The following is a 26,498-nucleotide window of genomic DNA, read 5'->3' on the forward strand; positions in this document are numbered from 1 at the left end:
AGAGCAAGCATAATTTAAAAGGATAGGTGTGATTTAAAGTGGCATAGATTTGAGGAGGGAAAAGAAGAAGAAAGAAGCACAATTTAGCAACAGTAATGAAGAATAAAAAGAGTAAGGCTGGACAGGTGCAATGATTCACGCCTGTAATCCCAGCACTATGGGAGGCCGAGGCGGGTGGATCACCTGAGGTCAGGAGTTCAAGACCAGCCTGGCCAGCATGGTAAAACCCTGTCTCTACTAAAAATACAAAAATTAGCTGGGTGTGGTGGCAGGCACCTGTAATCCCAGCTACTCAGGAGGCTGAAGCAAGAGAATTACTTGAACCCAGGAAGTGGAGGTTGCAGTGAGCCAAGATCGCACCATTACACTCCAGCCTGGGGGACAAGAGCGAGACTATGTCTCAAAAATAAATGAATAAATAAATAAATAAATAAATACATAAAAAGTAAGGTCTTACCAGACAAAAGAGAACCATAAAATTGAAATGCAGCCAGGTGCAGTGGCTCACGCCTGTAATCCCAGCATTTTCGGAGGCCGAGGTGGGCGGATCACCTGAGGTCAGGAGTTCAAGACCAGCCTAGCCAACATGGTGAAAGCCTGTCTCTACTAAAAATACAAAAATTAGCTGGGCATGGTGGCGTGTGCCTGTAATCCCAGCTAGTCTACTTGGGAAGCTGAGGCAGGATAATCGCTGGAACCCAGGATGCAGAGGCTGCAGTGAGCCAAGATCGTGCCACTGCACTCCAGCCTAGGCGAGAGGGCAAAACTCCGTCTCAAAAAATATATAAAAATAAAAATAAAAATTGAAATGTTTGCAATCTCCTCTCCAAACCACAGAAACAAACAGAAAAGACCAGCCAAAATATCTGGACTTTCCTTAAAAAGCTTTAGTTGTGAGAGATAATTACACTGATGACAACATAGCATGATGACAAAATTTTATTTCTAGTTCCAGTCTTTCTACCATCTGAAAAGTCGTAAAAGGCACTAGAGCAACAAGCGTATCATTAGAACAATGGTAAAGGGACAGTAGCCAAATGGCAAAACAATGAGCATTCAATTTAAATAAAAGACAATCTGACTTAGAGGTGTTAGATGAGGTTGCTACTAAACTAGGAATTATACAAAATGTCTATATACCATAAAAACAGACAGATGACTGAAATTCACATGGATCTATTGCAGAAAATCAGGAAACAAAATTTCACACATGATAACTGAGGAACATTCCTCTGAGAAGGTGTGGAGGAGGTTTGGAGGAAGAAACAGAACATAAATGTATGTTAGCACTTCAAACAAAAATAAATATACTCAAACAAGCCATAAGTACATGAAAACCCATCTTGAGTCAGAACTTTAAAAATAAAAACAAAAATGAACAACAACAAAAAAGAAATAAAAAGGGAATTGATTTAATTAGGGAAAGAAATGGAAGAAAAAGGCAAAACTGTCTCACAAATAAATAATACATTGCAAGGGGCCCAAGGAAGGAAAGACTCAAATAATAATTTTATAAGGCATGGAAGAAAGACAGGAAAATAACCAAAAAAGTGAAAATGAAAGGGTCAGTGAGAAAATAGTGAAAGTGGAAGAAAAACAAAGAATAAATAATGTTTCTTGTATTAGAGTCTCTGAAAACAAACAAATTTAACAATTGAACTCAGCTAATATTTCAAACTATAAACCCAAAAATGTTCCAGAAATAGAAAAAATTGAAAATTACTAAGATGGTTCACTGGGTATCTGGAAAAGTTAATCTGAAGCTCATTTTTATAGCCTTGATATCTGAAGGATCAATAGATGAGATATAGAAGCTCACTTTTTTAAATTGCATTTTTGTTTTTCTCATTTTAAATGTTGTTTCATTATTGCCTTACTTTGTATGTTGGTTTAGAAGAATCTGATGCTTGTCTATTTCTTTCACCTGTGTAAGTTATTAGATCTTTCTGTCTCGAGGCCTTGGAGACGTCATCTTTGACGTTTAATATTTTTACCATGAATATTAGTTTGGATTTGATTATTTCACTACTTTGAGTAGAAGGAGAAACACAAACAAATTGCACATAGGAAATAATTATACATGTTTAAAAATAACAAACACACTATATATCAGAATCTATGAAGTATATTTAATATAGTGATCAGAGAAAAATTCCTAATACTAAACACATACATTAGTAAAAATTAAAATAAATAAAATTAAATGCCCAGTTCAGAAACTAGAACAATAAGATAAAACTAAAAGGTACAGAAGAATGAAAGTATTAAAAATAAAGCAGGCCAGGCTTGGTGGCTTACGCCTGTAATCCCAGCACTTTGGGAGGCCGAGGCGGGCGGATCACGAGGTCAGAGGATCGAGACCATCCTGGCTAACATGGTGAAACCCTGTCTCTACTGAAAATACAAAAAGTTAGCCAGGCATGATGGCGGGTGCCTGTAGTCCCAGCTGCTGGGGAGGCTGAGGCAGGAGAATGGCATAAACCTGGGAGGCAGAGCTTGCAGTGAGCCGAGATCGTGCCACTGCACTCCAGCCTGGGAGACAGAGCAAGACTCCATCTCAAATAAATAAATAAATAATAAAGCAGAAACCGATAAGGTCAAGAATGGAAAAACAGTAACTACAATTTAAAAATTATAAGTTCTGGTTTCTAAGAAAATTAACAGAATAGAAGAACCACCAGCTAAATTTATCAAGAAAAATTGGATCATACAAAATAGGAAATAACAAGAGAAATAACACTGGGAAAGAAACGTTTTTAAAAATTGTTAAGAGACTATCCTGCAGATTTCTATGCAAACAAATTTTGAAACCTTCCTAAAGAAATGCAATCAACTGAAATTGGCCCCATTACAAATAGAATGCTTTTAGTTTCCACTGGAAATATTCCACAAAAAGTATCACGTCTAGAGGGTATCACAGGGAATTCTACTATATGTTCAAAGACCAGAAAATAGCTTTATAAATAACAAAAGAACATTTAAAAGGAAGGAAAACTTTATAATAATTTATTTTTTGAAGCAGTATAATACTGGTATCTAAATTCCTAAAGCCAATATAAAAAGAAAACCAAGTTCAATATTTTCCACGCATATTGAAGCAAAAACACTAAATAAGATATTAGCACACAGAATCCAATGAATTAGCACCAATAACAAGTGGGATTGATTCAAATTATCTGGTCATCTGCCTTAGCCTTTATGACTCATGATTTCCACTGGCTTATCATAGTTTTCATCATTCTGGTCATGAGTTCCTATTGAGGATCATATGAATTGGCCATCAAAGAGAAAAACTGGATGATCAGAGCATCTGGAAAGAGCAATGCTGAGATAGACACAACTTAATATTTCACCCTCAGAATGAAAACTGCAAAATCTTGAGTGTTCTAAAATGATTGGTTAATATGAAGATTTTGCATTATTTATGTAGATGTAAGAATTTAAGGTAGAGATTCAAAATGCTTCAGGCAATCTTATGGAAAAACGTCTACATAGTCATTTTTTCCCATGCTCTCCTGCAGAAACCTTCACCCTTCTGGCTGCTATTTCTCAAAAACTTTTCATAGCTGTTTAAGAAAGATTTATCCGGAGTCATTTAAATATAAAGTGACTCATGAATGGTTTTGAGTGAGCCCTTCCATTATGCCATTTTCCCTCTAAACTTGTTCAATTGGCTGGATTATTGAGCACTAATTTTGTGCAACCCATGAAACTAGACTCTGGGCCAGCTCCATTGTTTTCCCTTGAAAAAATTATTTCAAAAAGCTCTATTTTCGCTGGGCGCGGTGGTTCACGCCTGTAATCCCAGCATTTTGGGAGGCCAAGGCAGGCAGATCACGAGGTCAGGAGATCAAGACCATCCTGGCTAACACGGTGAAACCCAATCTCTACTAAAAATACAAAAAATTAGCCGGGCATGGTGGTGGGTACCTGTAGTCCCAGCTGCTGGGGAGGTTGAGGCAGGAGAATGGCGTGAACCCAGGAGGTGGAGCTTTCACTGAGCCGAGATTGTGCCACTGCACTCCAGCCTGGGCGATAGAGCAAGACTCCATCTCAAAAACAACAACAACAACAACAACAAACTCTATTTTCTTAGTCTTACCTTTTTGTCTAAATTTCAAACTGGTGTTAAACTTAGTAATAATAATAACTTATTATATAACAAAAAGATCTCTTTATTTAAGTGTGAAATTCTTATTCAGTATTTTTAAAATTTCTTCCACTGAGAGTATAACATTTAATTAAAAGGGTCAGATTGATGATGTGATTTCCAATTGAGGAGCAAAAATGGTCCTCTTTCTTTACAGCAGGTCTGAAGGGAGAAATTTCTGTAAGAATTTGTTGCCAAAAAAAGTAAAATCTTTGTTTCCCTAAGGATTCCACTGTGCTTTTTTTCATTCACGTGGTGAAAGCTATGTAAATTACTGTGTCATGCATTTTTTACCCTCGCTTCTGAGAAAAAAATTAGACGCTTATTTGATATTTATTTATGGCAAGAAAATTAATCTATAGGGTAGAAATATTTTTTTGCTCTCTATTTTTGTCTCTTTTTATTTATATTATTTTTAAACATATGTCTTCTAATATATACATGACCATTACTAAAATAGTAAGATTTTAATTGTTTTCACCATAAAGAAATAATAAGCATGTATGGTGATTCGCGTATACATGAATCAAAGCATCATACTGTACCCAATAAATACATACTACTATTTGTCAATTAAAATCAATAAATAGATAATGTTAAAGAGAAAAATATCAGGAATAAAATGTGAATGGTGTTTACTGTTATTAGTGGAGTTTTTTTCTCATCCTTTCCCTGTAGTCTGATGGGGCATTGGCAACACCTCATTCATTCATTCATTCATTCACCCATTCAAATATTTATCGAACACCAACTGGATGGGACTGGTTGTGTCAAGGATACAGATCCTCAGAAGTAATGACAAACAAGATCTGTGGCTGTAGACTGCGACTAAGTCAAAGACTCCAGAGAGGATACTGAGCAGGCAGTGTCAGGCCTCTGAGCCCAAGCTAAGCAATCGTATCCCCTGTGACCTGCACATATACACCTAGATGGCCCGCAGCAAGTGAAGAATCACAAAAGAAGTGAAAATGGCTGGTTCATGCCTTAGCTGATGACATTCCACCACAAAAGAAGTGAAAACGGCTGCTCCCTGCCTTAACTGATGACAATACTTTGTGAAATTCCTTCTCTTGGCTCATCCTGGCTCAAAAGCTCCCCAACTGAGCACCTTGTGACCCCTACCCCTGCCAGCCAGAGAACAACCCCCTTTGACTGTAGTTTTCCACTATCTACCCAAATCTTATAAGATGGCCCCACCCCTATCTCCCTTCACTGACTCTCTTTTCGGACTCAGCCTGCCTGCACCCAGGTGATTAAAAAGCTTTATTGCTCACACAAAGCCTGTTTGGTGGTCTTTTCACACGGATGCGCGTGAGAGGCAGACAGCACATGTCAAGTCACCCAGAACCATGCGGTTGAGCTAGCTGTGACTAGCATTTGGGAGCTTAGAGCCCAGTGCAGTCTTATCACTGTAATGCTTACACACTTTCATTGACTTCCAAGTTGGGAAGGCCTGTGCTATAGTCCTGGTTAATTAATAGAAATGATGGATGGTGGTGGTTTTAGAGCGATTTGGAGGAACTGAAACAGACTGGGAAGCAAGAATCTGAAAGGCATGGCATAGCATCTTACAGTGAAGAGGCCAGATAAAGAAAATAAAAACTGAACAGTGTAAGAAAAACTATGAGAAACACAGACTCTGTCTTTTCTAATCTTCACTCACATTTGATGACTCTGCATCTTCACTAAAAATGGTAGGTAATTTCATAACTGTTTTAGTTAGAAAAAAATTAACATTTTATGGGACAAGAGAATCTTGAATCACCCCTCAGCAATATCATGATAACTTGGGCAAAGCAAATACTGACAAATTCAGAATGGCTATAACCAAGTTGTCATTAGTTCTGCTCAGTGTTTAGAATGTTCACAGAGTGCTATTTCTTTAAAAAAATAAAATAAAAAGCTGATTTTTTTTGGCAAGAAAGTAATTGTGAAGTGTTTAAGTAAATGAAATGAGCTCTCTTTGCATTGAAATGTAAAGCTCCCATTTCCTCTCTTTAAATGTGTAAAGGATTTTTTTTTGTCAGTTTCAGCATGAAGAAGCATTAAAATTCATCTCATCCAAAACCTGTAGTGGATTTAAAAAAAAGATGTTAAATATCAGCAAATAGATCTGATAATCTGCAGAGTATTTCTGCTGTCAAGGAAGGACCATGGAATACAAAACACGTGTTCCTGACTTGACATCCCTTGGCATCTTGTAAATAGCCTCCACGAATCCATACCTTAAAAACTGCCAACAACAGCAAAATTGTGCACAAGTTTCTAGTAAGTTAAGCAAGCAAAGCAGAGAGAGGAAATGTGGCTAGATTGCATATAAAAACCGAGGGACTCCGAAAACTGACCTCGAAGTCATTTTACCAAAAGATACTCTCTGCATTTCTGCAGAATTGTCCTTTTATTTAAAATCAAACCGCATTTCGTGATATGTGTGCATGTCTGAGTAAATAAGAATATGGAGAATAAGCACGTTAGGTGGGGCAGGGGAAGATGATGAGGTAAGTGGGAAGAATTTTTCATGTGAAAAAATAAACTGCTGAGTAATACAAAATAGACTTTTCTTATGATTAAAGGTTTTTACCTCAAGAGGATATTGAAATAATCCTTTAGCCTGGATTTCTAACACTTCAATGCTACCTTCCTCAAAGGGGGAGGAAAATCACATTTATCAGTGTGTTTTCAGATTCAAAACTCAAAAGACGTGTTTGTCTCCTGGAGTTTGGAAGTGCCTTCTTTCTTCCTGTGCAAATTGCAAATGCAAAGGCTGCAGGAGACTAAGCAAAGGCCACATAGGGCGTCCTGTTGAGCAAAGCTTAGGCTGACTATCACCACAAACCTATTTCCTTGTTTCCCCTCAACATTTGAGAGATTTGTTCCACAAACTTGAGAGACTGGTTCCATTAAGAATTTCCATTAAGCAGTAGTTCACTCTTTTCCTTAAATTATTAATCAAGAAAATTGGCAATTAGAGCTTCTAATTAGCATAATGTATATTGACATTACCTACCACTAGTTATTATTCCAGCCCAAAGCCAAAAATATCATTTTTTTATGCTGCTTAAAATTGTACTGAGTACTGAGATAAATATGCATTTCCGTACATGGAAAATGATGATGGCATTTGTTGAGAATACATTGTATGATCTATGATTTATAAATATAATTTTATTTCATTCCTATGACAGGTCGGCAAGATCAGAATTAGACAACTTTGAGGTCTATAAAATAACATTGTTCAAATCTCATATTAGAGTGTGAAAGCTGAATTTTGAAATCCTATTTGCAGGATGCGGGTATCTATGGCTTTTTTCACCATTCCCTGAAGACTTTTTGACAAATAGCTCAGTCAGCTATAACTTATGGTCCACAAAGTTTCTGGACACACCAGTTTGGACATATATTGCTTCTCTAAACCTTCCTTAGAGCAAAGCACTTTGATAAAAATACACATAGACATATTCCACTACCACTTCCAGGAAACACAAATAAACATGCAATGTTTAAAAGTAAAACCATTCTGCAGCTTACATCTTCTATTAGTACGTATAGATCAACTTCATTTTTTTCAATGGTTATTATACTGTACCACAATTTATTAAATATTTCATTATTGATGAACATTTTGATAGCATTTTTTTGGTAGGCAACAATTCTGCAATATATGCATACATTTATATTTTGTGGATTTTCACTAATGTTTCTAATCCCTGCCATTCAAAATTATGGGCAAATGAATATGTACATGTTAACATTAGAAAGACACTGCTTAATAGCCCATCCAAAAGTCATGGTGATGGATTGCTGAGCCAGATGGCTGACTTTCTGGCACTCATCCTCCCCGACAAAAGAAAACCAAAACAACAAATAAACAATAGTATTTTGATTGGACTGAAGTTACTGAGGCAGTATGCTACAGAGCACAAGGAAAGCAGCAAAATCCCTGTGGAACCTAGACATCCATGATAGCACAAGGGAGAAGCAAGAAAGTCGTTTTGTCTCTGCTACACTATCTCCTCTGCTTGGATTGGCTCAAAATCAGGGTAAACTTTTTCCTATGGAGGAAAGTAAGCTAGAGATCTCCTGCAGTCCTCATTATTACCTCAAATGCCAGCAATCCTTGCTACAGGAGAGTCCTCTAATTCTGACAGGCCTGGAATCAAGTTTGGAGAGTAGCCTGAAGTTCCCACTACTGCATTACCTGAGTAGAAGCCTATGGTGGACATTCATCACTCCTGTGATCTAAGCTCTAATGGCATGATGCGTTCTTGAAACTGAACTTACTGTGTCCGGAATTTATTCCTTCCTGTAGGTTCTTGGTCTCGCTGACTTCAAGAATGAAAATAGCCACACGGTGAGTGTTACAGTTCTTAAAGATGGTGTGTCCGGAGTTTGTTCCTTCAGATGCTCAGATGTGTTCAGAGTTTCTTCCTTCTGGTGGGTTCGTGGTCTCACTGACTTCAGGAGTGAAGCAGCAGAACTTTGCAGTGAGTGTTACAGGTCATAGAGGTAGTGAGGACCCAAAGAGTGAGCAGCAGCAAGACTTACTGTGAAGAGCAAAAGAACAAAGCTTCCACACCATGGAAGGTTACCAGAGCATGTTGCTGCTGCTGGCTCAAGTGGCCAGCTTTTAATCCCTTATTGGGCCCCGCCCACATCCTGCTGATTGGTCCATTTTACAGAGCTCTGATTGGTCCGTTTTACAGAGTACTGATTGGTCCATGTTTACAGAGTGCTGATTGGTGTGTTTATAAACCTTTACCTAGCCACGGAGCACTGATTGGTGCGCTTTTTACAGAGTGCTGATTGGTGCATTTATAAAGCTTTAGCTAGACACAGAGTGCTGATTGGTGTGTTTACAATCCTTTAGCTAGACAGAAAAGTTCCCCAAGTCTCCACCCCACCCAGAAGCCCAGCCAGCTTCACCTCTCACTACGGCCAGAGTGTATCCTGCAGTGGGGGCCAGTAGCCACTGCCTCTCTTCATCCTTGAGTCTCTGCTATCATAACATAATATTAACGTGAGTACCTGCTACAATAAAACTCTTGCTGCTTGGAACCTATGGCAGAAGAAACAAACAAAACCACAATGTTCAAACCCACGTGGCACTCCACTTCCTCCAGGAAACAGCCAGACCTTCACAGCAGGGAAGTTGCTGAAAAGTTGGTTGGCCAACCTCACCTGTGCATACCCATGCAGCACAGCCAGCCTGATGATGAGCCTGCATGCACCCATGGCCAACCCAAGAGCTGGTCCTGTGGTGGCCTTCACCCTTTGATAGACTGTGGAAGAGTGGTCTGGCCCATCATGCTCAGTACAATAACCAGCCAAGTGCCCTATCCTACAACAAAACCATGCTATCATTATCACAAATTTCCGCAGCTTAGACTACTAGACAATCAGACACACTAGTGACAAAGACTATGGCAGAAGAGACTGCATGAAGTCCATGCAACTGAATCTACCCAGAATCAAAATTAATGTACTGCATCCTACTGATCCGCTAGGACCCAGCAACCCATAGGGAAAATGTTTCTTCCTATGAAAGCTATGCCTTAAAATTGGAAAATGCAACTATTCCACTAGATATACAGGTATCAAGAAAGGGACACAAGAAACATGAAAAACAAGGAACCATGACACTTCCAAAGGAACACAGTAAGTCTCCAGTAACAGACCCCAAAGAAAGGGACATTTACAAAATGCAGAAAAAGAAATGAAAAATAGTGATCTTGAAGCTCAGTAAAATATAAGATAAAGCAGACAAATAATTTCATAAAAATCAGAAAAACAATTCATCATCTGAATGAGAAATTCAACAGAGATAGATATTATATAACAAAGAACCCAATAGAAACCTTGGAACTAAAGAATTCAATGAATAAAATAAAAAATAAATTGAGAGTTTCAACCACAAATTAGTTCAAGCTGAAGAAATAATTTTTTTGAACTTGAAGATAGGGTTTTTGTTATAACTCAGTCAGAGGAGAAAAAAAGACCTTAAAGAAGAATAAAGAAAGTCTATGGAACCCAAGAGACACAGGCAAACAAATCTTTGCAACATAAGGTTGCAAGAGAGGGAAGAGATGAATAAAGACACTGAAAACTTATGTAACAAAGTATTAGCTAAAAACTTTCGAAGTATTGAGAGAGATATGGACATCCAGATCCAAGAAGCTCATAGGTTCCCAATCAGATTCAGTCCAAAAAGATTCTCTCCAAGGCACACTGTAATAAAAATGTCAAAAGCAAAAAGCAAAAAGAATTCTAGAAGCTGAAAGAGAAAAGCATTAAATTACATATAAGAGAATCTCCAATTTATCATCAGCAATTTTTTAGCAAAAATTATGCAAGCCAAGAAAGAATGGGTTGATATATTCAAAATGCTGAAAAGAAGAAAAAAAATTCTGCCAAGAATACTATATTCAGTAAATCTCTTCTTTAAAAATGGAGGATAAATAAACACCTTCGCAGTCAAGCAAACAATGATGGAATTTATCACCACTATGCTGGCTTTACAAGAAATGCTTAAAGGAGTAAGTACTACAACTCAAAATAAAAGGACAGTAATTTCTGTCATGAAAACACACAAAGTTTAAAACTCAGCAGCAGAGTTAAGTTCATTAATCAAACTCAGAATATTCCAGTGTTGTAAAGTATTATGTAAATCTTTCAATCCTATAGTATGGAGGCTTAAAGACAAAATAATCAAAACAACAATAGCTATAATTAGTAGCTAAGAAACATACAATACATAAAGAAGTAAATTGAGGCAATAAAATGTCAATTGTGTGTGTGGGGATAAAATCTAAAGTATTTTTATGCAAACAATGTTAAGTTGCTATTAGTTTAAATCAGTCAATTATAACTACAAGACTCTTCATGTTAGACCTATGCAAATCACAAATAAAGAAATTACAGCAGATACAGAAAATAAAAATGAAAAAGGAAATAAAGTTTTGAAGCACAGAAAACCACCAAACGAAAGAGGTAAACAACAAGAGAAAAAGACATAATCAAAAGATCTACAAAGCAATAGAAAAACAACTAACAAAATGGCAAGAGTAAGTCCTTGTATATCAATAATAATCGTCAATGTAATGATTTAAATTTTCCCATTAAAAGATACAGAGTGGCTGAGTGAATATAAAAGCAAAATCCAAATATGTACTGCCTAATAGAAACACATTTTACCATTAAAGACAAAGATCGAATGAGAGTAAAAGAGTAAAGAAAGATAATTCATGCAAGTGAAAATCAAAAGCAAGTAGGAGTAGCTATAATTTTATCAGATAAAGAAGACTTTAAGTCAGAAATTAAAAAAAAAAGACAGTAAGGTCAATACATAACAATAAAGGGATCAGTTTAGTGAGAGGACACAACAATTCTAAATATATATGTGCCCAACACTGGAGCACCCAAATAGATAAGGTAAATATTATTAGATCTAAAGGAAGATATAGACAGCAATACAATAATAGTAGGTGACTTCAACACCCCACTTTCAACAATGAATATATCATCCAGACAAAAAACAACAGAGAAACTGAACAACTTAACTGAAACTTCATAGACCAAATAGTCCTAACAGACATTTACAGAACGTTTTATGCAACAGCTAGGGAATACACATTCTTCTTAGCTACACATAAAAGATTCTCCAGGATAGATCATATGCTATGCCCCTAACAAGTCATACCAAATTTATTAAGGAGGAGATTATAACAAGTATATATTTTTCTTATACACAGTAGTATAAAATTAGAATTTAAGAAAAGCTTCAGAAGTTTTACAAATACATATAAATTAAACAACATGCTCCTCAACAACCAATAGGTCAATGAAGAAATTAAAAGGTAAATTAAAAAAATAAATTTGAGACAAAAATAAAAACACATTATACCAAAACACAGCAAAAGCAGTTCTAGGAGGGAATCTTACGGCAATGAACACCTACATTAAAGAAGAAGTAAAATTTTGAATAAAGAACCTATTAATACACCTCAAGTAACTACAAAAACAAGAACAAACCAAATCCAAAATTGATAGAAGGAAGGAAATAACAAAAGTCAGAGGAGAAATAAACAAAATAGAGACCCACCAAAAAAAATCAAAAAAATTAATGGAGCAAATAATTGATTTTTTTTCTTCCCAACTTTTATTTTAGGTTCGAGTATACATGTACAGGTTTGTTACATGGGTAAATTGTTCACCATGGGGGTTTGGTGTGCATATTATTTTATCATCTAGCTAATAAGCATAGTACCTGATAGGTAGTTTTTTTATCGTTACCCTACTCTCACTCCCCACCCTCTAGTAGGACACACTGTTTATTTTTCCCTTCTTTTGGCCATGTGTACTCAACGTTTAGCTTGCATTTATAAGTTAGAACATGCAGTATTTGTTTTTCTGTTCCTGTATTAATTCACTGAGGATAATGGCCTCCAGCTTCACCATGTTGCTGTAAAGGACATAATTTTATACTTTTTATGGCTGCATAGTATTCCATGGTGTATATGTACAACATTTTCTCTATCCAGTCCACCCTTAATGGGCATCTATGTGTTGATTCCATGTCTTTGCTATTGTGTATAATGCTACAATGGGCATATGTGTTCATGAGCCTGTATGGTATGACAATTTATATTCCTTTAGTGTATAATGGGATTACTGGGTTGAATGGTGTTTCTGTTTTTTTTTTTTTTTTTTGTCGTTTTGTTTTGTTTTTTTGTCTTTTGTAGAGATTGGCAGACTTTAATATTCAAGAAAAATTAATTTCATCATACACATTAAAAATATAGGAAATTTCATGCAGACATGAAGCTTCCAATTCAGCTTTTGTGGCAAATTTTAGAATGAGAGTTACATATAAATACAGTACATTTTACAGTTAAACTTTATAATTTTATACTATTTATACAGCTTCTCCTTATATTGTACATATTCCACCTTGCTCACTTGATTAATGTACCCTAATCAAGTGCAGTGTATCTGCACTGCTTCAGAATTGGAAATTAAAGAAGAAAAACCACAAGCACAATGGACTGTCTCCTCTCGTTTCACAAAGTATATGAAAAAGTTTGTGTATATAGCTAATTTAAGAAAAACATTTTAAACTTTAAAGCTTACATACTTTAGTAGCTAGGACTAAAATTAATACAAAATTAAATAAATCCTCCAGCGATACTTCTATTACCCATTGATACCACATTTTCAAATTTAGAATATATTAACTGCAAAAGCTATAAGAAAAAAAGTGATGCAAATTTGTATAGAACATTTAAAAAACAACATTCATGATATGAGGGATAAATTAACAAATGAAGTAACTGATTTCAGAATTAACTAAAACATATGCTATAATTTAGAAATGTAACATTATTAAAGAAAACCTAATAGAAAAAAAATAATTAATAAAGCCAACCCACCAGAGTCAACCTGTTTTTGCCTGTGAGAAAAACAAGTATTTCTGTTTTAAGTTCTTTGTGAAATCTCCAAACTGCTTTCCATAGTGCCTGAACTAATTTATATTCCTACCAGCAATGTATAGGCATTTCCTTTTCTCTGCAGCCTCCTGGGCATCTGTTTTTTATTTTTTAATGTCCATTCTGACTAATGTGAGGTGGTATTTCATTGCGGTTTTGATTTGTATTTCTCTGATGATTAGTGATGTTGATCATTTTTTCACATGCTTGTTGGCCACGTGTATGTCTTCTTTGAGAAGTGTCTGTTCATGTCTCTTCCCTATTATTAATAGTGTTGTTTGTTTTATGTGTGTTAATTTGTTTAAATTCCTTATAGATTCTGAATATTAGACCTTTGTCAGATGCATAGTTTGAAAATATTTTCCCCCATTCTGTAGGTTGGCTGTTTTCTCCATTGGTAGTTTCTTTTGCTGTGCAACAGCTCTTTATTTGAATTAGGTCCCACTTGTCATTTTTGTTGTTGTTGTTGCAATTGCTTTCGAAAACTTCTTCATGAAATCCTTGTCAGGGTCTATGTCCAGAATAGTATTACCAGGGTTTTCTCCTGGGGCTTTTACAGTTTTGGTTTTTACACTTAACATCTGTAGTCCATGTTGAGTTTATTTTTGCATATGGTGGGAAAAAGTTTCCAGTTTCAATCTGCATATAGCTAGCTAGCTATCCCAGTAACATTTATTCAATAGGGAGTTTTTCCCCATTGCTTGTTTTTGCCAACTTTGTCAAAGATAAGATGGTTGTAGATTGTATGGCTTTATTTCTATGTTTTCTAACCTATTCTATTGGTTTATGTGTCTGTTTTTGTACCATTATTGTGCTGGTTTTGGTTACTATAGCCTTATAGTGTAGTGTGAAGTCAAGTTTGATGGTTCCAGCTTTGTTCTTTTTGTTCAGGATTGTCTTGGCTACTCAGGCTTCTTTTTGGTTGCACAAGAATTTTAGAATAGTTTTTAAATAATTCGGTGAAAAATATCATTGGTAGTTTTATACGGATAGTATTGAATCCACAAGTTGCTTTGGACAGTATGGACATTTAAACAATAATAATTCTTCCTATCCATGAGCATAGAATGTTTTCCCATTTACTTGTGTCATCTCTGATTTCTTTCAGCAGTGTTTTGCAATTCTCATTGTAGAGATCATTCACTTCCTTGGTTAGCTGTATTTCTAGATATTTTATTCTTTTAGTGGCTATTGTGAATGTGATTGCAGTCTTGATTTTGCTGTCAGCTTGGATGCTATTGGTGTACAGAAATGCTGCTGTTTTTTGTACATTGATTTTGTAACCTGAAAATTTGTTGGTTGTTTATCAGATCTAGAAATCTTTGGGCAGAGATTATTGTTTTTTTAATTTATAAAATTATATCATCTGTGAGGAGAGATAATTTGACTTTCTCTCTTCCTATTTGAATGCCTTTTATTTCCTTCTCTTGCCTGATTGCTTTGGTTAGGACTTCCAATACTATGTTGAATAGGCATGGTAAGAGTGGGCATCCTTGTGTGGTCTGGTTTTTCAAGGGAAGTGCTTCCAGCTTTTGCACATTCAGTATGATATTGGTTGTGGTTTGGTCATAGATGGTTCTTATTATTCTGAAGTCTGCCCCTCTGATGCCTAGTTTACTGCAGGTTTTTAATATGAAATGATGTTGAATTTTATCAAGAGCCTTTTCTGCATCTATTGAAATAAGTATGATTTTTTTGTTTTTAGTTCATTTTATGTGATGAATCACATTTATTGATTTGTGTATTTTGAACCAACCTTGCATCCCATGAATAACACCTACTTGACTGTGTTGGGTTAGCGCTTCGATGGTCTCCTGGATTCAGTTGGCTAGTATTTGTTGAGAATTTTTGCATGTATGTTCATCGTGTATATTGTCCTGATATTTTCTTTTTGTTGTGTCTCTGCCAGGTTTTGGTATCAGAATTATAGTGGCCTCATAGAGTGACTTAGGGAGGAGTCCCTACTCCTCAATTTTTTGGAATAGTTTATGTAGAATTGGTACCAGCTCTTCTTTATATGTCTCGTAGAATTCAGCTGTGAATTCTTCTGGTCCAGAGCTTTTTCTAGTTGGTAGGGTTTGTTTGTTTGTTTGTTTGTTTGTTTGTTTGTTTGTGTTTTGAGACAGATTTTTACTCTTGTTGTCCAGGCTGGAGTGCAATGGCGCGATCTTGGCTCACTGCAATCTCTGCCTTCTGGGTTCAAGCAGTTCTCCTGCCTCAGCTTTCTGAGTAGCTGGGATTACAGGCACCTGCCACCACGTTAGCCCAGCTAATTTTTGTATTTTTAGCAAAGATGGGGTTTCACCCTGTTGGCCAGGCTGGTCTCAAACTCCTGACTTCAGGTGATCCACCTGCCTTGGCCTCCCAAAGTGCTGGGATTACAGACGTGAGCCACCGCACCCGGCCTCTAGTTGGTAGGGTTTTTTTTGTTTGTTTTTCTTTTTGTTTTCCACTGATTCAGTTTTGGAACTCACTATTCATCTTTTCAGGGTTTCAATTCCTTTTTGGTTTAATTTTGGGATGTTGTATATTTTCAGGAATGTATTCATTTCTTCTAGGTTTTCTAGTTCATATGCATAGAGGTGTTCATAATAGTCTCTGAAGATTTTTTTGTATTTCTGTGGGGTAGATGGTAATACATTCTTTGTCATTTCTAATTGTGTGTATTTTTATTTTCTCTCTGTTTATCTTTATTAGTCTACCTAGAGGTCTATTAATTTTATTTATTTTTTCAAAAAACCAACTTTTGGGTTCATTTATCTTTTTTTTTTTTTTTTTTTTTTGAGACTGAGTCTCGCTCTGTCACCCAGGCTGGAGTGCAGTGGTGCGATCTTGGCTCACTACAAGCTCCGCCTCCCGGGTTCACGCCATTCTCCTGCCTCAGCCTCCCGAGTAGCTGGGACTACAGGTGCCCGCTACCATGCCCGGCTAATTTTTTGTATTTTTAGTAGAGACGGGGTTGCACCAGGTTAGCCAGGATGGTCTCGATCTGCCCACCTCGGCCTCCCAAAGTGCTGGGATTACAGGTGTGAGCCATCGCACCTGGCCACTCCTGGCTACTTTTTTGTATGTTTAGTACAGACAGGTTTCACCGTGTTAGTCAGGATGTTCTCGCTCTCCTGACGTCATGATCTGCCCACCTCGGTCTCCCAAAGTGTTGGGATTACAGACGTGAGCCACTGCACCTGACCCATTTATCTTCTGAATGGTCTTGTGCATCTCAGTTTCATTCAGTTCAGCCTTGGGGCGATTTGGTTTGCTTTTGTTTTCCTAGCTCCTCTAGGTGTCATGCTGGGTTGTTAATTCGACACTTTTCCACTTTTTTTTATATGAGCATTTAGCTCTATAAATTTTCCTCTTAACACTGCTTTAGCTGTGTCCCAGAGATTCTGGTATGTTTTATCTTTGTTTTCTTTACTTTCTAAGAATTTTTTGATTTCTGTCTTAGTCTTACTGTTTACCCAAAAGTCATTCAGAAGCAGGTTGTTTAATTTTCATGTAATCATATGGCTTAGAGAGGTCTTCTTAGTATTGATTTCTATTTTTATCTTGCTGGGATCTGTGAGTGTAGTATATATATATATGTTTAGAATTGCTTTATGTTTGAGCATGTGGTGAATTTTAGATTATGTGTCATGTGCAGATGATAAGCATGTGTATTCTGTTTTGGTTGGGTGGAATGTTCTGTAGATATCTGTTAGGTCCATTTGGTCAAGTGTCGAGCTTAGGTCCCAAATATCTTTGATAGTTTCTGCCTTGATAATGTGTCTTATACTGTCAGTGGGATACTGACACCTTCCACTATTGTTATGTGGTTATCTAGCCTACCATGAAGATCTTTAAGAACTTGTTTTGTGAATCTGGGTGCTCCAGTGTTAGGTGTATATATATATTTAGGATAGTTAAGTTTTCTTGTTGAATTGAACCCTTTATCACTATGTTGTGCCCTTCTTATCCTTTTTTGATCATCATTAGTTTAAAGTATGTTTTGTTTGGAATTAGAATAGCAAACACTGCTCTATTTTGTTTTCCATTTGCTTGATAGATCTTTCTCCATACCTTTGCTTTGAGCCTATGGATATCATGGCATGTGAAATGGGTTTCTTTAAAAGAGCATATAGATGGGTCTGTCTTCTTTTTGTTTTTTTTTTTTGTAAATTTTCTGAATTTATTCTGATGCAATAATCAGTGCACAAAGATGGACGTACAAGAATGTTTGTTATAGCGGTATTTACAATTGGATACAAACTAAATGTTTAACATCTGTGACTATTTAAATTGTGGTAGAGTCATAAAATGGAATTTTTTTATAGCCATTAGGAACAATGATATACTTGTACATATCTTGACAAGGAAAGATGTTCATGCCATATTATAAAATTAGAAAATAGATTATAGAATATGTGTACTATTATTCCACTTTTGCCAGAATGTTTATTCACATGCATGCATTTGTACAGATAGAAAATGTCTGAAAGTACAAATATCAAAGTGCTGATGGTAGTATCTGCCGGGTTGTGGAATTATGGTAACTTTTTTCTTTTCTTGTTTTATTATTGTTATTTCAATAATTTCAGGGGAACACGTAGTGTTTGGTTACATGGATAAGTTCTGTAGTGGTGATTTCCGAGATTTTGGTGCTCCCATAACCCAAGCACTGTCCACTGTACCCAGTGTGTAGTCTTTTATCCCTCACCCCTCGTCTCAGCCTTCCCCCTAGTCCCCAGACACCATTATATCATTATTATGTTTTTGTGTCCTCATAGCTTATCTCCCAATTATAAGTGAGAACATACAATGCTTGCTTTTCCATTCCTGAGTTACTTCACTTAGAATAATGGTCACCAACTCCATCCAGGTTGCTGTGAATGACATTATTTTGTGGGCTTTTTTTGGTTCCATATGAATTTTAGGATTGTTTTTTCTAGTTCCATGAAGAATGATGATGGTATTTCGATGGGAATTGCATTGAATTTGTAGATTGCTTTTGGCAGTATGGTCATTGTCACAATATTGATTCTATCATCCATGAGCATGAGATATGTTTCCATTTGTTTGTGTCATCTATGACTTCTTTCAGCAGTGTTTTATAGTTTTACCTGTACAGATCTTTCGCCTCTTTGGTTAGGTGTATTCCTAAGTATTTTAAATTTTTTGCAGCTGTTGTAAGAGGAATTGAGTTCTTGATTTGATTTTCAGCTTGGTCGCTGTTGGTGTTTTACAGAGCTACTGATTTGTGTGGATTGATTTTATATTCTGAAACTTTACCGAATTCACTTTTCAGATCTAGGAGCTTTTTGGATGAGTCTTCAGGGTTTTCTAGGTATACGATCATATCATCACCAAACAGCAATAGTTTGACTCCTTACTATCAGTTTGGATGCCCTTTATTTCTTTCTATTGTCTAATTGCTCTGGCTAGGACTTCCAGTATTATGTTGAATAGAAGTGGTGAGAGTGGACATCCTTGTCTTATTCCTATTCTCAGGGGGAATGCTTTCAACTTTTCCCCATTCAGTATAATGTTGGCTGTGGGTTTGTCATAGATGGCTTTTATTACATTAAGGTATGTCCCTTCCATGCCAATTTTACTGAGGATTTTAATCATGAAGGGATGCTAGGTTATTTGTTTGTCTGAAAAAGTCTCTCTTTCCCTCATTTATGAAGCTTAGTTTCTCTTGAAACAAAAGTTGTGGCTAATAATTATTTTGTTTAAGGAGTCTAAATGTATTACCCCCCAATCCCTTCTGGCTTGCAGGGTTTCTGCTGAGAAATCTGCTATTAATCTGATAGATTTTCCTTAATAGGTTACCTGATACTTTTGCCTCACAGCTCTTAAGATTCTTTCATTCGCTGGGCGCGATGGCTCATGCCTGTAATCCTAGCACTTTGGGAGGCTGAGGTGGGCAGATTATGAGGTCAGGAGATCGAGACCATCCTGGCTAACATGGTGAAACCCCGTATCTACTAAAAATACAAAAAATTAACTGGACATGGTGGCGGAGGCCTGTAGTCCCAGCTACTCGGGAGGCTGAGGCAGGAGAATGGCCTGAACCCGGGAGGCAGAGCTTGAAGTGAGCTGAGATCGCACCACTGCACTCCAGCCTGGGTGACAGAGCGAGACTCTGTGTCAAAAAAAAAAGATTCTTTCATTCATCTTGACTTTAGATGACCTGATGACTATGAGCCTAGGAAATGATCTTTTTGCTATGAATTTCCTAGGTGTTCATTGAGCTTCTTGTATTTGTATGTCTCGATCTCTAGCAAGACCAGAGAGGTTTTTCTTGATTATTTCCTCAAATGAGTTTTCTCTTTTAGATTTCTCTTTTTCCTGAGGAACACCAATATTCTTATGCCTGGATGTTTAACATAATCCCAAATTTCTTGGAGGCTTTGTTCATTTTTTAGATCTCTTTTGTCTTTGTTTTTGTCAGATCGGCTTAATTCAAAAGCCTTGCCTTCGAGCTCTGAAGTTCCTTCTACTTATTTGATTCTGTTGTTGAAACTTTCCAGTGTGTTTTGCGTTTCTCTAAGTGTGTCTTTCAATTCCAGAAGTTGTGATTGTCTTTTCTTTATGATATCTATTTCTTTGGAGACTTTTTCACTTGTATCCTGTATTTTTTTTTAATTTCTTTAAACTGACTTTCACCTTTCTCTGGTGCCTTATTGAGTAGCTTAATAATCATCCTTCTCAATTCTTTTTCTGGTAATTCAGAGGTTTCTTCTTGGTTTAGATCCATTGTTGGAGATCGAGTGTGATCTTTTAGGGGTGTTATAAAACCTTACTTTGTCATATTACAAGAATTACTTTTCTTCTCCCTCATTTGGGAAGACTGTTTCAGTGGAATGATTTCAAACTCAAGGGCTGCTGTTCAGCTTCTTTTTTCCCACAGGATGATCCACTGATGTAGTGCTCTCCCCCTTCCTCTAGGATAGGGCTTCCTGAGAGCCAGACTGCAGTGATTGTTATTGCCCTTCTGGGTTTAGCCACCCAGCAGGGCTACCAAGCTCCAGGCTTGTGCTGGGGAATGTCTGCAAAGAGTCCTGTGATATGATCTGTCTTCAGGTCTTCCAGTCATGGATACCATCAGCTGCTCCACTGGAGGTGGCAGGGTAGTGAAGTGGACTCTGTGAGAGTCCTTGGTTATAGTTTTGTTTAGTGCACTGGTTTTCTCTAATGCTGGTTATGCCAGCAGTGAAGTTGTCACATGGACAGACTCAGGACCTCTGTTTAGCCAGGGTGTTGAAGGTGTTAGCCATTGTTTTCTCCTTCTTTGGAGCAAGGATGTTCTGTCCTGAGTTGCTGTAGAGGCTTGAGTTGGTTTTCCTCTAGCCAGGAGGTGGCACTTTCAAGAGAGTGCCAGGTGCAGTAGTAGAAGGGGGATATAATCTTGCCCTGTGTTGGCCAGGATGAGTACTCAGGTTCCTCAGGTGATGGTTGGCGGGGGGGGGGGGGGGGGGGTCATAGAACTCCCAAGAGATTACATCTTTTGTTTTCAGCTGCCAGGGTGAGTAGAGAAAAACCATCAGGTGGGGGCAGGATTAGACAGGTCTGAGCTCAGACTCTCTGGGTGGGGCTGCTACCACTGTGGGGGGTGGGGGTGGTTCTCAGGTCAGTGGAGTTATGTTCTCTGGGGGATTATGGCTGCCTTTGCTGCTTCATACAGGTTGCCAGGGAAATGGGAGAAAGCCAGAAGTGACAGGCCTCACCTGGCTCCTATGCAGCCAGCAAGACCAGTCTCTCTCGCACCATGAATCCCCAGCTGCACCGAGTTCATGTCCAGGTGATCAGAGCTGAGATCTTGCCCCAAGGCACAAGCCTCCCTGCTGAGAAAGTGGGCAGGGCTCTCAGGCCTTGCCTCCCCACCTGCCCTCACCATTGGATGTGGCTTCTGTGCTTGTATCTGCACTTCCCATTCGCCCCCCTCAGACTCTGCTCAGGAAAGTTTGTGCTCAGTCAAAATTACTACAAAGTTCAGCTAGGACCTATATTTGCCCTGTGGCCCCTCCCCAATTCTGCTGGCCACCTTCCCTTCCAGAAGGACCTCTGTGAGATAAGGCCAGAATGACTTTCCTGGGGCTCAAGCTGAGAACCGGGAGGGTCCTGATGCTTCTTCTACTTTTATATTTTGCTTGGCTGCCTAAATCCATTTCAGCTCTAGGTAAGGTTAATCCTTCTCCTGTGATCTGGATTTTCAGGTTCTTTAGTGGGGATGTGTGTTCAAAGGCTGAATTTTTTTCCCCCTCACATTTTGGGAACTCACAGTTTTTTGGCTGTCTCATGGGGTTTGCAGCGGCAAGCCTCTTCTTTCAAAGGGTTTGTGAATTCTTCCAGTTTTTCTGGTGTGTTCCTGCAGTGGTTCATGGAGCGAAAGTTCACATGTAAGTCTCCAGACACTGTCCTGTCATCTAAGCCGGAGCTGCACGTTAGTCCTATCTCCTGTCTGCCATTTTATGGGAGATCTTTTTTCTTTATCCAAATTGCCACTCTCTGCCTTTTAAGTAGGGGCACTTATCCTGTTTACATTTAAGGTTAATATTGATATGTGCTGATTTGATCCTGTCATTGTGTTGTTAGCTGGTTGTTATGCAGACTTGATTGTGTAGTTGCTTTATAGTGTCAATGGTCTATGTGTTTAAGTATGTTTTTGTTGTGGCTGCTAATAGTCTTTAGTTTCCATGTTTAGCCCTCCCTTAAAGATCTCTTGTGAGACAAGCCTAGTGGTAACAAATTCCCTTCATGTTTGATTGTCCGAAAAGGATTTTATTTCTCCTTCACTTATGACGTTTAGTTTGGCTAGATATGAAATTCTTCATTGGAATATTTTTTCTTTAAGAATGCTGAGGCTGGGCATGGTGGCTTACAACTGTAATCCCAGCACTTTGGGAGCCTGAGGCGGGCAGATCACCAGGTCAGGAGATCGAGACCATCCTGGCCAATGTGGTGAAACCCCATCTCTACAAAAAATACAAAAATTAGCTGGCCGTGGTGGAGGGCACCTGTAGTCCCAGCTACTGGGGAGGCTGAGGCAGGAGAATCATTTGAACTCAGGAGGTGGAGGTTGCCATAAGCCGAGATCGCACCATTGCACTCCAGCCTGGGTGACAGGGTGAGACTCTGTCAAAAAAAACAAAAAAAGAAAGAATGGTGAATATAGGCCCGCAATCTCTTCTGGCTTGTAGAGTTTTTGCTGAAAACTCTACTTTTAGCCTAATGGAGTTTCCTTTGTAGGTAACTTGCCCCTTCTCTCTAGCTCCCTTTAATATTTTTTCTTTTGCATTTACCTTGGATAATCTGACTGTGTGTCTTGGGGATGGTTATCCCATACAGTATCTCATTGGAGTTCTCTGAATTTTCTCAATTTGAATGTCAACCTCTCTAGTGAGATTGGGGGATTTTTCATGGACAATATTCTCAAATGTATTTTACAAGTTGTTTGCTCTCTCTACTTATCTTTCAGGGATGACAAAGAGTCATATGTTTGGTCTTTGTGTAATCCCATATTTCTTGGAGGTTTTGTTCATTGTTTCAAAATTCTTTTTATTTATTTTTATCTGACAAACTTACTCAAAAAAACAGTCTTTAAGCTCTTTTCTCAACTTGTTCTATTCTGCTGTTAATATTTCCAATTATATTATAATATTTTTGTAGTGAGTTTTTAGCTTTATCAGATCAGTTTTGTTCTTCCTTAAAATGCCTCCTTTGTCTTTTATGTCTTGTATTGTTTTACTAGATTCCTTCATGTTCATTGCCATCCAGATTCTAAATTCTATGTCTGACATTTCAGCCATTTCAATCTAATTAAGAACTATTGCTGGGGAGCTACTGTGATCATCTGGAGGCAAGAAAACACTCTGGTATTTGAGTCACCAGAGTTTTTGTGCTGGTTCTTTCTCATCAGTGTGGCCTGATGTTCTTTTCATCTTCGTCGTTTTTGTCTTTTAGATGGTGCTTTTTGCTTTTTTATTCTTTGATGCTCATGAGGTTTTGACTGTGGCATAAGTTGGGTTTAGTTGACTGGCTTCATTTCTGGATGATATCAGGGGGCCCAGGCTAAGCTCAGCACTTCTGGTCTGCGTGCCCTAACCCTGGGTGTTGGTAGGAGGCCCACAGCTGTGTTCTCTGTCCTTATCTCTGTGTTATCCCCTTGAGGATAAACACTTGCTTCACTAAAGGGGCCAAGTTTCTCAGTCTGCTGGCAACAACAATGGGAGATTCTTACAAAAGCACTTCACTGGGGGAGTGATAGTGGGGTTGCGCCCATGTGCACATGCTTGTGGCTGGGCAGCAGTGCATTGGAGTGCATGTTTGCATGTGTGCCAGCAGCAATAGGGCAGTGGTGTGGTGATATCTGCACATGTGCTTGCCAGCAACAGTGTAGTGGTAATGTGGAGGTGTCTGAGTGCATGCATGCTGTCGGGGTGGGGCTCTGGCATGGCGAGGCCCATGCACGCATGTGAACCAGTGGCACCAAAATGGTGAATTCCATGTGTGCACCTGTGTAGCAGTGGGGGAAAGCCACAGGCAAGTGCACACTGGCAAAGCAGTGGGAGGAGGTGTTTGGCACCTCTGTGTCTACCGAGGCCTGTCTGCTGAAGCTGTCCAGTGGTTAGATGGGATCTGCTATGATGTCTGCTGCAGGAGAAATCCTGGTTTTGGAATCCAAGCCTGCACTGCAAGTGGATGTGGTCAGGAGGGACCCAGCAAGAAGCCAGCAAATGAAGGGTGCTCAGATCAAACTGGCCTTGTCCCTGTGGGCAAGACAGCCCGTCTGTGTCCAGGTTAGAGAGCCAACAAAGCCCAAAGCCACTTAGAGGAGCATGGCATGCCTTGGAGGATGGGTGTCCCTGGTCATGCTCCATTGCAGCTGTTCTCACACCAAACTCTCTGGGCTCCACACAGGCTAGAGTACTGTCCCTGCCACTTCTTCAAGCATCTCTTCCTGCCAGCTCAGATGTCTGTGGGCATCATGAGGGTCTCCTGAAGTTAAGATTCTGGAGGTCCATGAAAAGCATGGACCAGTCTTCACCTATTTAAGTCTCTCCTTCTCCAGGAACCACTGGGGGCTGGAATGAGTCATGGTGCTTGGTGGCATTCTGCAGGGTTTTCACCTTCCTCAGCTCAGGGACTCTGTCCTCCCACCTTTCACCCTTAATGCCTTTCTTGCAAAGATCTACTTGGAGTGTGCCGGTATTCTTGATGGTCTGATGTCTCAGTGGGAGATGCTCTTCCTGGCTGAGTCTAGTCAGCAATCTTGGCTCCCCCCTATCAAGAATTAATTTTTTGAAAAGAAAAAAAAATACACAAAACTTTAGCTAGACTAATTGAGAAAATAATAAAACTCAAATAAATAAAATCAGAGATGAATAGAGAGTCATTACAACAGATATCACAAAAATACAAAAAATCATAGGAAATTATTGTGAACAATTACATGCCAATAAATTTTATATCAGAAGAAATGAATAAATCCACGTACATGTGCAATTTACCAATACTAAATGAAAATCTACAAATATGTTTGAAGAAATACAAAAACCTGAACAGAATAAAAAATGAATGAGAAGATTAAGTTAATAATAAAAAGCATTTCATCAAATGAAAATGCAGGATTTGATGGCTTCACTGTTGAACTCTACCAAAGATATAAAGAAGAAGGAATACTAACTCTCCTCTAAGTATTCCATAAAACTGGGGAGGAGAAAAAACTTCTAAATTTATCTTACGGGGTCAGCATTATCCTGACTTCAAAACTGGACAAAGACACACCAAAAAAATGACATACCAACATTGATGATAACCAATTCTCAACAAGATACTAACAAACTGAGTCTAAAACAATATGAGAAAGATGATTCACTATGATCAAGTGGAATTCCTCACAGGCATTCAAAGATTGCTTAATATACAAATGAATAAATGTGATTTACCACTTAAACAACAACAACAACAACAACAAAAGACCAAAACCATGTGATCTGCTTTTGGTTCGATGCAGAAAAAAAATTGAGAAAATTTAATATCCCTTCACGGTAAAAAGTCTCAACAAATTAGGTATAGAAGGCTTGTCCCTCAACACAATAAAGGCCATATATAATGTTCTCACAGCTAACATCATACTAAACAGGGAAAAGCTGAAGGATTTGTTTCTAAGATCAGAAACAAGACAAGGATGCCCACTATCGCCACTTCTATTCAACATAGAACTATAAGTTCAAGCCGGAGCAACTAGGCAGGACAAAAATAAAAAGGAACCAAATAATAGAAGAGGACGCCAAATTGTCCCTGTTTGCAGATGACATGATCTTATGTAGAGAAAACCCTAAACATGTCACCAAAAAACCGTTAGAACTAATAAATTCAGTGAAATTGGAGGATACAAAATCAATATACAAAAATCAGTGGTGTTTCTATGTACTAATAGCAAACTGTCTGTTTAAAAAAATCAAGAAAACAATTTCACTTTATATAGCTACAAAACAAAAATAACTAGGAATAAACTTAACCAATAAGGTGAAAAGGCTCTACACTGAAAACTATAAAACTATATAACAAAAAAATTGAAGAGGACTTACATAAACTGAAAGAATCCCATATTCATGGATTGGAAGAATTGATATTGTTAAAGTGGCCATACTCCCCAAAGCAATCTACAGATTTAATGCAATTCTTGTCAAAATACCAATGACTCACAGAAATAAAAAATCTTCACAGAAATAGAAAATCAATCCCAAAATTGGGAACCCCAAAATATCCTAAATATCCAAATCAATTTTGAGCAAAAAGAAGAAAGCTAGAGGTATTACACTACCTGGTTTTAAAATACATTATAGGAACAACATGGTACTGGCATTAAAAAACAATGG

General features: G+C 37.9%; 1 long non-coding RNA gene across 1 annotated transcript in view, besides 1 other annotated feature; it reads left to right on the forward strand.

The window, feature by feature from the left end:
• The window catches only part of LOC105370991 (uncharacterized), a 152,871-nt gene that overhangs the window by 19,375 nt on the left and 106,998 nt on the right, over nt 1-26,498 (forward strand). The gene's annotated exons all lie outside the window — the stretch shown is intronic.
• Nucleotides 8,259-9,458: an enhancer, noted in NCBI's record as "BRD4-independent group 4 enhancer chr15:95589779-95590978 (GRCh37/hg19 assembly coordinates)". NCBI's record gives its function as "activates an origin of replication core promoter dependent on BRD2, P300/CBP, MED14 and CDK7 cofactors, and independent of BRD4, by STARR-seq in HCT116 cells {active_cell/tissue: HCT116}" and the evidence as "EXISTENCE:reporter gene assay evidence [ECO:0000049][PMID:35650434]".

Source organism: Homo sapiens, chromosome 15 (assembly GCF_000001405.40).
Source record: "Homo sapiens chromosome 15, GRCh38.p14 Primary Assembly".
Classification (NCBI taxonomy): Eukaryota; Metazoa; Chordata; class Mammalia; order Primates; family Hominidae; genus Homo; species Homo sapiens.